General features: G+C 48.7%; 3 annotated features.

Moving 5' to 3' along the window:
• Window positions 1,139-1,638: an enhancer, noted in NCBI's record as "H3K4me1 hESC enhancer chr10:80330529-80331028 (GRCh37/hg19 assembly coordinates)". NCBI's record gives its function as "activates a minimal SCP1, AML or CMV promoter by ChIP-STARR-seq in naive and primed H9 embryonic stem cells {active_cell/tissue: H9 hESC(naive and primed)}" and the evidence as "EXISTENCE:reporter gene assay evidence [ECO:0000049][PMID:30033119]".
• Window positions 1,639-2,140: an enhancer, noted in NCBI's record as "H3K4me1 hESC enhancer chr10:80330027-80330528 (GRCh37/hg19 assembly coordinates)". NCBI's record gives its function as "activates a minimal SCP1, AML or CMV promoter by ChIP-STARR-seq in naive H9 embryonic stem cells {active_cell/tissue: H9 hESC(naive)}" and the evidence as "EXISTENCE:reporter gene assay evidence [ECO:0000049][PMID:30033119]".
• Window positions 12,143-13,056: an enhancer, noted in NCBI's record as "OCT4-NANOG hESC enhancer chr10:80319111-80320024 (GRCh37/hg19 assembly coordinates)". NCBI's record gives its function as "activates a minimal SCP1, AML or CMV promoter by ChIP-STARR-seq in primed H9 embryonic stem cells {active_cell/tissue: H9 hESC(primed)}" and the evidence as "EXISTENCE:reporter gene assay evidence [ECO:0000049][PMID:30033119]".

Here is a 14,142-nt window from a genome sequence, read left to right as displayed (position 1 = left end):
GGTGGATTTCCCAAAGGTCTTGGGGGCCCCACTACTTGGGCATCCCATGGGAACAGTTCCTGGGGACTTTGCTGTGCTGAGGATGCCAAACTGGGAGGCCAGCATTGTGTGAGGCCAGAGGCTCCACTGGACATAGCTCCTGGAAGAACAGGAAACCCCACAGGGGCTGAATCCCTGCCAGGCACCTCTAGATCCCAAATAGAGGGGCATTTATCCCTGCACATGAACTCTGAGGGCAGGCATGCTGAGTGAGGGGCCAGGTGCTGAAATCCAAGCAAGCATCCTGCCAACACAGCAAGCATAGGGCAGAGGCCAGTTAGACCCCAAGGGGACCCTGCTGGAAAGGCCCTGTCAGGTAAGCCCCACCTGTGCCCCACCACCCACTCCCTGCCCAGGAGTCCGTCTGATGGGGAAGAAGCAGCTTTGTGTGAGAGGCACCTGGCCAGACTGTCAGCTCAGACATCACCCCAAGGGGTGGTGAGGTTCCCCTAAAGACACACAATCCAGCTTTCCTGTGTGAACCGTGATGGTCCAGAAACTCTCCCGTCAGCTCTGTGGGCATTGGAGAAGTTACCCAAGGGACAATGAGTGCCCTGTGTCCTCAGGTGGCTGCCCACCACAGGGTTTTCTCTGGCTTGCAGGAAATGGTCTCCTTCAGACTCCATGGAGGGTCTCTCTTTCCCTTGAAATCAGGTCAGCAGAGGAGCAACCCCAAGGTGTTCTGAGCAGAGAGACAGAGCCGGTGACACTTTGCTCCATCTCTGACTGCGTGGGAGACCTGGGAGACCACTCAGCCTCTGCCAACAGTTCCCCAACAGGGAAAGTCAGGATAACAACACCTATTTCACTAGAGCCTTATGAAAAGAGAGTGGAATAACATATGTCCATGAGCAGGTCCCACAGTGTGCCGGGAATAACAAGAGGAGCTGACTGTTCAAAGCGCTCAGCGGTGCACATCTCAGTGAATCCTCCTGCAACCCGCTGATGAGCTGCTTTGCTATCAGCTCATTTTACAGGTGATGGAACAGAGGCCCGGACAGGTTGAGGACCTACCAAGGGTACACAGCTCTTAAACAGAAAGGCAGGAACCATGATGTTCTCCTGCTTCCCTGCCAAGTGTACATTTCTTTCCCGTCTTCTAACCAGGTGCCTGGCACTGAACTAGTTGAGCAAATGACTTTTCAAGTGAACAATATAAGTTATGCATGGAGGGTGAAAGATGAGTATGACATGGCTGTGTGCTCCCCTCACAATCTGGAGAAATGCCTGCAAACAGGGAATTACAGTATGGTGTGTGTGTGTGGTGGGGGGTGCACAGAACAGGGAGAGCAGTCTGTCCTGTGGGATCTGTTCAGGGATGGGTTGTCAGTGAGAGAAGTTTCTGGCAGCAGGGAATGCCTGAGCTGAGAGGTGCAGAGTCAGGAAGGGTGAGCCAGGTGGACTGGCTCGGGGAGAAAGTCGGGCTATTCCAGGCAGAGGACCCTGAGTAAGCACAGGATCTGAGCCATGAAACAGCCTGCTGAGTGCATGGAATGACAAGGAGCCGGGTGTGCCTGGAATACCGAGGGCCAGGCAGAGTGAGGATGGTGTGGTGAGAGGCAGGCAGGCAGACAGGCAGGCACCAGGCCCCGGAGGGCCTGCGGGACGGGCCTGGGAGTGTGGGCCTCCACTGTGGGCTACAGGGAGCCACAGGATGGGTCTACACAGGGAGGGGTGTGGGCAAACTTCTGTTTCTGAAGGATTATTCTGGAGGTTTTATGTGAATCAGAGGCCAGCCTGGGTCAGAGAAATCTGTTAGGAGGTGAGAGGAAGTGAGGCCCTGAATAACAAATACGGGGGCAGTGGTGGAAATGGAGAAATAAACCTGAAAATAAGTTAGGGTATAAAAGCAGCAGGAATTGCTGAATTATTGAGGCAAGTATGGGAGAGAGAGGAGTCTGTGGTGGCACCCAGGTTCTTTGCTGGGGTCCTGGCTGACCGGTGGACCCATTCACGAGCAGGGACCTGAGGAGAGTGGCTGATTTGAGCGACGATCACACCCACTGATGTCCAAGGCCTGTGGGCCACTCAAGGCGGGAGATGGCCATGAGAGGGCTGGTTCTGTAGCCCATTGCTCAGGAGAGAGGCGTTGACTGTAGGTGTGGGCTGAGGGTGCACCTGCTTATAGATGGAGGTGGAGGTTGATGTCCTGGGAGTGAAGCAGAGGAGTCAGAAAAAAGACCCTGGGGGAGCAAAGGCAAGTCCAGGGATGGGGAGAGTCTCCGCAGGAGGCGATGCTCAATGGGTCCAACCCCACAGAGGCCCTGCAAGGGAAGGACTGAGAAGTGCCTGGATGGGGCTTTGGGGTCACTGACTATGGTTGGGACTGGATTTTGTGGCGGTTAGGAGTGGATGTTAGAGCAAAGGAGCAGCAGGAAAGCTGTGCAGACAAGATGAGAACGAGAGTGCATCATCTCAAGAGAGAGCTAAGGTCAAGGACGGGGCCATTCTCAGGATGAAACAGACTGAAGCACACTTCTTCAGGGGAAGAAGCCTCATAAGGGATGTTCTGACTATGTAAGATGAATGAAAGAATCCACAAGATAGGCCTGGAGGAGGCACAAGGGGCCAGACCCCATGGGGGAGACAAAGACATGATGCTTCCCCTCACAGAGCTCCTCAAGACGCCTGCCCTGCTGTTCTTATCAAACCGGAGCCCGTGCGACACCCTCTCTGCTCCAGCTTTCTCCTGTGCCCTTTAGCTTCGGGGCATTGCTGCTGTTCTTTTGATCATCAATCTCCCCCATGTGTCAGCTCCAGGAGGGCAAAGATGTCATCTGTCTCATCCATAGCTGTTTCCCCAGCACATGCCAGGAGCTGCTTCTGGCATGTAGGGGAAGCTCAACTCATGTCTGCTGTGGAATGGATGGATCGGCAGTGGAGAAGACATCCCCATGCACAGCTGATGCTAGAGCCAGGAGACGTGGGTTTGGAGTTTGATGGTGGAGGAAGTGGTGGGGGGGCACATTGGGCAGAGGGTGGGCAAGAGCCAAGAGCCATGGAGGAACTGGTGAGCACAGGCCCTGTAGGGAAAGGCCAGTGGTCCAGCATTAACCAATATTACTCAGGGCCTTCCCTCCCCTCCTTCCTGCAACATCTGGGGAGCACATACAACATGTGAGGAGCTGGAGATGCAAAAAGGAAGAACACAGACTGTCTGCCCATGAGGAACTTATAATCCAGGGGAGTGAGAACAGGAGAGCAATCATCAGAGTCCAAATATGGTGCATATTACATGGGTCATGTATCTGACTGAAAAAAAAAAATAAGAGTGAGGCCAAATTAAAAAGGCCTTGAATACTGGGCTAAGAACCTTAGGTTTTATCTCATAGACAATAGGGAGCCATTGATGGTTTATAACCCTGGAAGCACCACGATCATGCCCACATTTTAGAAGAACTCATGGGCAACAGTATGGGCCCTGTAATGAAGAAAGTTATAAGCAGGGGAAGGAAGCCCTGAGAAAATGGTTCCAAACAGTGGTGTGCTGGGGCCACTTCCTCCCAGAACAGCAAGAGCTGAATATCTTCTTCTCTTTCCAGCTCCTCCTTCTGTGACATCACCACTTACCAGTTGAAATTGGCTGTAGTGGGAGTATTTACACCATGGAAATTGGTGAATGCTACAAATCAGAGCTGCTTTTTTCTTGGAGTTCTGGTTTACCCACAAACAGGGGATAGCTCAAGTGCTAACCATGACCAGTGGGCTCACAGCCTCACACGGAAGCTGACAAACAAGCCAGGGTTCTCTTTCAAGCCCCTATAGGGACCTTATCAATGCTAATTGTTATCTCAGCCTCAGCTTTTTTGCTTCAGAAACAGACAACATTTTATCTTCCCAACTTGGACCACAGTGTCTAGTCCTGTCCTCTAGGTGAAACTAACAAAATCAAGGCAAACCAAGAGGGCAAAAGGGCCTCAGCTGTCCTGAGATGGGCTTTGTTTTGTTTTCACAGCTCAGAAACTCCGGGGACTTAGGAGAATAGTTACCGAGCAGTGAGGGAACAAAATATTTCATCTTTGTGTGGTGTTTGAGGCCAAATCACCTGACCCAGAAGCAAGAGAAGAGGAAGGGGCAGAGCCACTGAGCCAGGTTCCCTCCTCAGCCTCCCACAGCTCCTGTCCTCTTGCAATTGAGCAAGAGGACCCCAAGTTGGCTAAATCAGAGGGCTGCAGACTGCATGCCAGCTGCAACGTGGGTCACGAGGAAAATGGGCTGGGCAGGCAATGAGATCATCGCTGTCTCTTCACCTGCCTGCCCTAGGGGTGCAGCTGTTTTATTTCCAGGTAAAACACACAACTGTGCCTCTCCAGGGTGGCAGCAAGAGAGAAGGGATTTGCAGGGATTCCATAAAGCTATTGACTTAAGATGTTAGTTACATTCTGAGAGCAGAGACAGGCACAATGGTTAAATGACTGCCATTTTGAGGAAATATTGACTCTGACCAGTGGATTCCGTGGCTTGTTTCACAATGCCTGGACACAATGGCCTGTTACTTGCACGTGTGTGTGTGCACATGCACGCACATACACAAGCAATCAGTTAATAATTAAAGCCTTGCTTATGTGTCCGCATTGAAAAATGCTTCCGGCTTTCATTTCATGTCATACTGTCTCCCACTTCACCCTCAAATGCATGCTTTGAAGGAGGATTATTTCTATTTTGTATGCTCTGGAAATTAACTGATAGATGTGTGCATTTCTATCCCCCGCTTCTCCATTTGTGTCCCTCCTTACCTTTTATTCTTGTCTGCTCTCTGCTCCTCCCCCCTGATTTTCACCAACTTGTTTCTTTGCTTTAAATCTCTCCCTCATCTGAGGCTGCTTGTCTTCCCTGCCCCACTGCCCCCTCCACTTCCCTTTCTCCTTCTTCTGTATTCCTTTCTGACTCCTTTTTCTCCTCGCCTCTCTCTTTTCTCGTCTTTCTCTCTCTCTGTCACTCAGCAATCCCTACCTCTCAAGGTCAACAAGCAACTCTGCCGAGATCTTCACTCGAAAGAGCTCACTTGGCTTTAATTAGGATCCTTTCAGAAACCCTGACCCCAGAGAAAGCCCTGCACTCAAGAGCTGTCAATTTCCTTTGCTCTGTCTTATCACCTCCCTCCTCCATGCTTTTAAGAGCAAAAATCCAATAAAAGAGATTTAGAATAAACATGTGGAAGAGGAAAGGATTGAGGACATTCCATTTTGCTCCTTCAGTTGTGTAGATGAGAAAACTGAGACCCCAAGGAGGGACCGTGACACTCCACAACCACACAGCCAGTGAGAGACAGAGCTGGTGTCAGAGCCCTGGCCCCACTAACCCCTCCTTACCAGCTGCCCCCTGGACCTGACCACAGAGGAACTCCATGGAGCATTTAGAGAACACCTCCCAGGCCCAGACAAGTGCTGATATTTTTCCAGACATGCCTGGAGGCATCTTGGGAAGAAGCTACAAAGTTAAACAAAAACAAACGGTGAACTTGGTAATTGTACACACTCCTATTTTCTTAACTAACCAACTGGATCTTGTTAAGGGAGGCTTCTGAACGCAGACAGAGAGAACCTTGTCGTCACCCGTTAAATATGTCTAATTTTACACACTGTCATGTAGTTCTCCATCCAGCTGCCTCTCCACTGGAAAGGAGTGAATGATTGCATCTTGGCCCATTTCTTAGCACGTAGGTATTTTTTACAGGCAAGATTGCAGACCCTGCTGAAATGGTCTAGTGTGGGTAATCTTACATACTTGGCATCTTCAGCAGACTTTTAATTCATCTAAAACAGAGAGCTGGTTGTTTCAGATAGTGCCATCTGCCTGATGCTGACATGGCATGTTTTCTCACCTAAGTCCTGCCTCCTGTCTAGTCCTCAGTTTCCCCAACTGTAACGTAAGAATGGACCAGACTTTCCCAGGGCCCTTCCAGGGCTCAGCTCTGCTGTTCAGACTCACTCTACATTTGCCAAGACCTTAATTGCATCAAAACGCTGAGCAAAGTCTGGTTTTTGTTAGGGCTTTTGCTTACAGAGCTGTCTTCCAAATCAAGAACCTTCCTGATGCTTTTAAATAAGCCTATACTTTAAAGAAAAATGAAAATTAAAGTATCGAACCTCTGGGTGCACTCTGTGCCCCATAATGAAATGTACATGGAGGACATACATCCGGTTCAAGGACTTTATACAAAGTTATAATAACTTAACAGTAATAAGCTAATAGTCAAATGGAATTAATAACAGGAATGTGGCCATTTAAGCAGTGAGATGGCCCCGTGTCATGAAATTTTTGCGGCTAAACCCTCTTGAGTTTCTGTAAGCTAATAGCAATTAGCTCCTGAGTTAATGGCAGCTGCGGTCATAATGAGATTGGAATTGATCATTTAGAAGCAGGCTCCCATAAGCTGGTCTTATGAGGCATTTCAGCTGCAAAGCACTGCCTTGACCTCTTCTCCCCACATCTTTCATCATGACCCCATCTTTTTTCAGGCTTTCTGGACTCATCATACTTTTTCCCTGCACAGCATGCAGCTCTGCAGGGCACCAAGAGTGAAGCCTTATGGTGGGTTGTATAGCCTACAGACCAAGAATTCCAAGCCTGCAAAGCAGAGTCTACTCAAACTTGGCTGCACAAACCTTTCCCTTGGCAGGTACCTCCTTGGCAGGTTATGCCCATCTTAGCTTCGAGTTCTAATTCTGGCTCTCTACTGCTTTGGTCTGACTAGTGGGTTGACCTCTCTCAGCTTTGGTTTTCTCAACTGTAAAGTGAGGTGCATATTATCTACCTCATCAGGGTTATAGTAAAGATGTAATAAGGAAATCTGTGTAAAGGGCCTTTATCTACCATGAAAAGATGCTCAATGGATGTCTTCCTTTTTGTGTCAGTTAGCTTTTGCCCTGTAACAAATCACCCCCAAAATTAATGGCTTAAAATAACAATCATTTTATCTTGCTCACAATTATGTGGGTCATCTGGGTGTGTTTTTTCTGGTGTAGCCCACTGTTTCTGGGCACCATCATGCATTTGTGGTCGGTCGATGGGTAGGCTGGTGGCTGGACAGTCTAGGTATGCTGTGCGCACATGCCAGTGGTTGGCAGGCTGTCAGCATGAGACATAGGAAGAATTGGGACACATGACTCTCATCCTGCAGCAGACTAGCTTGGGCTTATTCTCATGGTGGTCTCAGGGATACAAGCACAGGAAAGAAGGAAGTCCCAATATGCAGGGGCTTTATAAGTCTCTGCTATGTTACATTTACTATCATCCTATTGGCCAAAGAAATTCACATGGCCAAGAAAGACCCATGGCCAAGTCTACCTACACTCTACGTCTTGATGAAAAAATGGCATAGAGATGGGAAGAATCTGTGGTCACTTTTCCAACATACCACACCTCATTTTACTTTCATTAGTTTTTGTCATCTATATGCTGTGTCTGGTAGATAGCAGGTGTTTGGAAAGTGATTATTAAGTGAATGATTGAGTAAATGAATGACAGAAACCAGCCTTCTGTTAGTAACGCTGAGACTCCAAGACAAGCAGCTTGCCAAGGTATTGCTGCAACTGCGGGGGAGAAAGCAGGAGTCAGACCCCAGCCTCCTGATCTCCACTCAGACAATTGTTTTCTCTTCCATAGATGAGGAAAACTGTTACATAACACATCCCAGCACCTCAAGATTTTTTGGTGTGTGCTTTTTCTGAGCATCAGTTTCCTTTCTGTATTTGAAGGCATGGATGTGGTCTCACTGGCCCTCCCACTCCTCTGTCTGGGTGCTTTGGAAGGTAGTATGGTCCAAAGCAGTTCTCTGCACAGTGCTTCTCCCAAGAGACAGAGGGGTGGAGAAGGGGTGGCAGTGAAGCTCCCCAGGTCCCTCTGCATGTGGATATAGCTGGAAATTCAGTACATGCATCAATATGTGGCTAATCCTTGAGCCAGCTCTGAGTTGTCTGGACAAAAGGTGATTAAATTACTCAGGAATCAATTCCAGGAGCTGTTTTCCTTCCTTATTTAAAGATCACAAACTATTTTCTCCTGAGGATAAAAATCAATAATTGAGTAAAAATTGGGCATCACATCATTCCTATCAGAGGCCCCAAATAAGCTTTCTGGCTGGGGAAGTGTGGGGAGATGGAGGCAAATGCAAACTCTGCCTTTTACATTCTGAGTCAGTGAAGTCTGCAGAGGGTAGTTGGGGGAATAAAGCTCCCTCACCTCTGGGTCTACCTGCAGGCATTTTCTCTCTCTTCCCACATGGGGAGGTTTTTTTTTTTGTCATGGGAGATTTGCTCTGGAGGAACCCTAGGGCCCATCTGTCTTGACAACACATTACCTCCTGCCATGTCTGGTGTATCAGTCAGGCTTGTCTAAGTTATGTTGCAGTAACAAATAACTCTCAACTCTCAGTGACCTACAGCAGCAAAGGCTTAGTTCTCACTTGAGTTCTATATCCTTTCTGACGATATGCAGCTCTGTTCTATGCCATTGTCATTCCAGTACTGGGCAGAGGGAGCAGCCTCTATCTGGAGCATATCTAGTCTCATGGCTGAGGAAAAACAGAGTAGAACTCCATAGCTCTTAATACTTCTGTTCAGAAGTAGCACACTTCACTTCTGCTCACATTTCATTGGCTAAATCAAATCAAATGGCCAAGCCTAATGGGGTAGGGAGGAATAATCTTCCGTGGAAAAGACCAGCAAATATTTTAAACAATAATATAATCTAACACATATGGTCTCTGCTTGGGTCGGCTTGGTGCTGGTGTTTAGACAAGGGTGTGGGTTTTCCAGGGCTGGGCTGGAGTGAAAGAGGAATGAGACCCAGGGGTACCGTGAGGGAGGTGGGAGGCCCACTGGCTTTGGCTCTGTCTACTTTAGTCTCCAGCAGAGGAAATTTTAACAGGCACTTCCATGAAGCCATTTACTCATGAACTCCACAAGTTTCCAGACATTTCTGCTTGAAGCAGCCCCAAGAATTGCTGGAGGAAAGCCAGCAGCCTGGGCTGTCTGGCCCTATTCTAAGAAATAAAATGTCCCCTGCTCCTAAGGTCACACAGGGCAGGGGGCTCTGTGCTGGTCAGAAAAGGTGTGACGAGGCCAAGTTCCCTGAAGGACAGTGGGACACCCCAGAACCCCCTGCAATTCAGACCCTGAACCTCACACAATACATCCTAGATAGCCTCAGGCTTAGAGGATGATGACCTGAATCTCAGGTCCACTTCTTCAACTTATCAACACGTGGCCTTCGATGTTCAGTTACCTGCTCTGTGCTTCATTGTTTTCATCAATAAAATAGGAATAACAGCATCAGACCTGCCTTCATTTGCTAAGAGATGGGAAAGTTCTACAGAAAAGAGTGAAAACAAAATTGCCTAATGCTCCCTAGGAGTTTGATACAGATGGTGCATCTCATGTCTCTGGTCACTCCCTGTTTCATGAGGATGCAGAGAAGGGCAAGACTTCACCTCCAAGATCTCTAAAGGGGACAGCGAGAGCGGGTGGGTCCCCAGAGAGACAGACATATTAGCTCCCACTAGAAACAATTTTCTAACAAGGCCAGAGCCATTGGGAGATGAAATGGCTGGCAAGGGAGAGAATGATTCCCTGTGATGAGAGGTATGCAATTAGGGACTGAAGTCTGCTTCCCAAGGATACTCTGAATGCCGGTAAGCAGTGGATGGATGGTGGAACCGAATGCCGGAGGGTCATAGACTCTTAGAATTAAATGATTGCTATCAAACTCAGAGGCACAGTAATATGACCTCATGGATGAAGCCCTGGCAAACCATGTGGCAGTAGGTGAAGCATATGCCCTGGCCTGATCTCAGGTTGATCTTTTCGAGGCTCCTTCCTCCTGACAGTTCCAGGAGACTTAGATGGTGATTCACTCCTCAGTGGCCTTGGTATTTCCTGCACGTCTCCTAGAAATGAGGCATCAGTCCTAGTCTGGTGGCCGTCCACCCCCAAAAGTCGGGACATCCCTCTTGAGCTCTGTCTGGTCCCAGTGAGAAACTCTCAGGATGCACTGTGGTCCCCAATGGCTGAGGAGCAGTGGTGCACAGGTGCCCAAGACACTGGACTGTCCTCAGGGGAAAGGGCAGAGACAGCACTGTGTGTTTGCTGAGGGGGATGGGATATTGTTGGTGAATGGATCATGTCCCAGCCCTGGACATGCTGGGTACATGGAAGAGCTCAAATTGGGCTTTTGATAATGATCATTTTCTTGGACTTGGAGCAATGCATTTCTCTCCTCCCACTCCTTCTGTATCCTTAGCATCTTCTTCCTGACATTGAAAATTGCTTTATATTCCTCAGGGGCTGTCAAGTTCTTCCTCTCCTGAGGCCCTCTCACTGGTTCTATGAGGCAGCCAGGCCTGGAGCAGCATCTTTTTCTGGTCATGAACACATATGGGGCTCAAGCGTGTGAGAGGTGTGAGACTTGCCTACTCAAACCCTGGCCCAGTGCCGAGCCTTGAGCTCCTGTGTCCCTGAATCTGCAGCCCAAAATGCTGGCGGCCACCTTGGGGAACATCTCCTCAGTGCCCCAGCAGCCCTTTCCTCCACAGCTGGAGGCAGGAGCCACCAAGGCTAGAGGGACCAGGCATTATGCCCCTGTGAGACCGTGGGCATGGCCCTTAGGTACCTGTCCTCCACTGTCAAATGGGGCTCCCTCCTGTGTCCCAGGTAAAGGAGAAATGACTGACTGTCCAGCGTGCCTGGTGCATGTGTGGTTCATGGTAAGCACACATAACTGCCCTATTGTTGCTGTCATTGTTCTGCATGTCTATCATGCCTTGTATCCCACATCCTGAGGCTCAGTACCTTGGCCAGCCCTGCTGGGGGCCCAGTCCAGGCCTAGATCTGCACTGAAAACCTGCCTCTGGTCACCACAGAAGATGGGGTGATGTCCCTCCATGGGACATGCTGGTCTGGGTGCTGTGCTGGGCACTCCTGGACTTGCCTGAGCAAGCATTTCATGTATCTACCCCAACCAGGTGTTGGGGTAGACACACTGCCACATATTTTTCTGTTTGGCTCCCACAATCCCTGAGAAAAGGAGCATTTGCCTTCCATGGCACAGATGAGGAAACTGAATCTAAGACAGGTAACTTGCTCAGGGTCACCCAAGAATCAGGAGCAATACCCCTCCTGGTGGTGGGGGATGAGGACCTTCCAGGCCAGGAGGCCCCCCACCTTTTCCTCACAGAGCTCTCAGGGGAACATTGTGGACACAGATTCCTGGGACCCAGCCTACACCGCTCCCCGCCCCAGTTACTCTAGGGGTGGGACTGGAGACCCATTTCTGAACAGCTCACCAGGTGACCTCCCTGCAGACAAGGTCTGCGAACATCTACATCATATGCCCCCTCTGCCAGTCTGGCCTGGTCTGGTCTGCTAGACATAGACCTGCAGTGACAAATATGGCCCTTTCTAAGTGCAGGGCTTCAGGGAAAGAGAGAAAGGCCTCAAGTAGTAAGGCTCCTTCGGAGAATGTATCTTATATGCCGAGAAAGACAGGAAAAAACAAGGCTTTGTTCCACTCTAGCATCTAATTTGCTATGTGAGCTTGAGCAAGTCACTCTCTGGGTCTCAGATTCTGAACCTATAAAATTAGATTTAAAGGACTTTAGGCTGGAGTTTCCCTAAGTTTGAAACATCTGGACACACTCCGGATGATCCAGCACAAGAAGCAGGGCCCTCAGCAGCCAGTGAACAGGTTCACTGCAGGGAATAAATGTCACCAGCCCTGCTCAGGACACTCGGCTAGCTCTGTTTGCTCTGAGCTGCCACCTTTGTGATAATGGCACCTACCTTCACCTACCAGCAGGCATTGTGCTAAGCACCTGGCTGCATTTAATCCTCAGCCACCCTTTAAGGAAAACATTATCCTCTCCCATTTTACAGTCAAGAAAACTGAGGCTCAACAAGGTTGAGAGATCCAGCCAAGGTCACATAGCTGGGAAATGGCAGAGCTAGGATTCAAGCACAATGTGGTGAGGCTCCAAAGCTGATGGGTTGTGCAGACGGCCGCTTTAGTGTCCTGAGTAATTGCCGACTGTCTTCCTCCCTGAGGATGTGTGCAGCTGAGCTCTCTCTCGCCTTTTTTGTGAGCCTGCCATGAATCAGGAGAGGCAGAGGAACAAAATAAACAGAGATGGATGGGAGCAGAGGGTTTTGAGTGGAATCATTCTGCAAAGCTGTCTTTTTCCTTCGCCTTCTTTTGCAAGCTGCCCCTCTTAGGAGCTTCAAAAAGAAACCTGCTCCAAAGCAGGATCTTTTGCCTGAGCCAAAAGCCATTTATCTGGAATATTAATATGCCAGCAGCTGCCTGTGATGGTGCCTGCGCTGATCACACACTCCCAGCAATGATCTCTCCTGGGAATGTTCCGTGAGGCTCCAGGAAGCTAATGGGCCCCCTGTGGCCCATTCTACTTACCTTTTGTTTGGCTTTCCCAGAGCTTTCTGCAGATTTTCAACCAAGCGTGTCCCAGAGAGGGACATCTGCGGTAGGACAAGGCCATTGACAGCAAATCCACACCCACCCCACCTCAGGTGACTAGTCCTTCTCCCTCATGGCATGATGATTGGAAAAGAATAGAAAAATCCGCAAGAGCCAGCCCGCACACTATGTCTAACCGCAGGAGTCAGGCTGGGGACTCACCATGTCTTGAAGTGAAAGGCACGGAGTTTAGAGGAGCAGAGCTCAGCTTTTGCTATAGCCCATCCACTCCAGTGCTGTACAGCCTTAAGCCAGCTACAGGCTCCCTTTCACTTCAACCTTCTCTCTGCAAATTGAGCTGGTTGAACTTGATGCTCTCTCTCTAAGGGTCCTCCAGATGGAACATACCCTAATGTTGTGGTGGGAACACTAGGCAGAGAGTTGGAGGCTTTGTGTTCAAATCCCAGCTCTGCCACAGAGCAACCTTGGTCAAATTGCAGAGGTTACTATGTCATTGGGTTTATTGTAACACAAACTGAAAGGAGATTCTCTGTGCAAGTGCCTAGAGGAGGGCCTTCTCTGTGGAGTCAAAAGCCATTTGCTGAAGCTGAAGCTGGGATTCCAGTCACTACCAGAAGCTGGTGCAGAAAATACAGCTGGAAGTGATCCTACTCCCTCTGAGTTCCTCATCTCACAAAATCAGTAGTTTATAATGAAGCACCATGGCTTGTAATGAAAAGATACTTCCTAGAATGTCACAGTGCAAAACATTTCCTGGCACAGGAATGTCTTGTGTTCTGTAAGGTCAGTAATCAGATATCAGAATTTTAAGATGCCAACTTGCAACCCTCCCTTGCCAACCCATACCTTAGTTCCTATCACATAGTAGGTCTCAATAACACTCTACTTTTCCTTTCAGTGTAAATTCAGAGGAACTATTCAATAATGGCAATAATCAGGAACACAATGGCAATTAACACATTGCAGATACTGCTCCAAGTGCTTTCTATATTTTAATTCACCGAATGCTTATGACCACCCCATGAGATGGATACTATTTCACACGGGAATTTGGAAAGCTCACCCAAGGTCACAAAGGTACTAAGTAGCAGGGGTAGAAATTAAACCCAGACAATGGGGCTTGAGCTTGCTTCTCAGTCCACTGGGAGTGGTTCTCAGACTGAAATTACCTGGTGGGACTTAAAAATGCAGCCTGTAGGACCCCACCCCCAGAGCTTCTGATTCTCTAGGCCTGAGTGGTGCCTGAGAATCTGAATTTTCAGAAGATTCCCAGGTGACATTGGTCTGGGGACCACACTTTGAGAGCTACTGATTTAGACCTCCGAGTTAAAGGGAAAAACTGGACTCCATGTGAACTCCAAGGTCCCTTGGAGCTTCAGGATCCCTGTGTTTCCCAAAGTATTATCCACAGAAAATACTTCCACAGGTTGCTGTTGGGCAATATATGCTGGAAAGGGGAATGAAATCAGTGGTCATGTATGTTTGGGACATTTTGGTTTAATACATTTAAATAGGTTTCTTTACTGGTTACCTGCTTTGTGTTTGTTTATGTAATATCCACATGTACTCTATGACATAGTTGGCAAGTTTTCTAAACATATTTGACATCAATTGCCTTCTAATGAGTAGAATGGAGAAGTAGTGTGACTTCTCAGAGTAGGCCATGAAAAGCAT

The sequence above is a fragment of the Homo sapiens genome, chromosome 10 (genome assembly GCF_000001405.40).
Source record: "Homo sapiens chromosome 10, GRCh38.p14 Primary Assembly".
NCBI lineage: Eukaryota > Metazoa > Chordata > Mammalia > Primates > Hominidae > Homo > Homo sapiens.
Note: the sequence above shows the minus strand (reverse complement) of the source record. Positions and strands in the feature narration are given on the sequence as shown.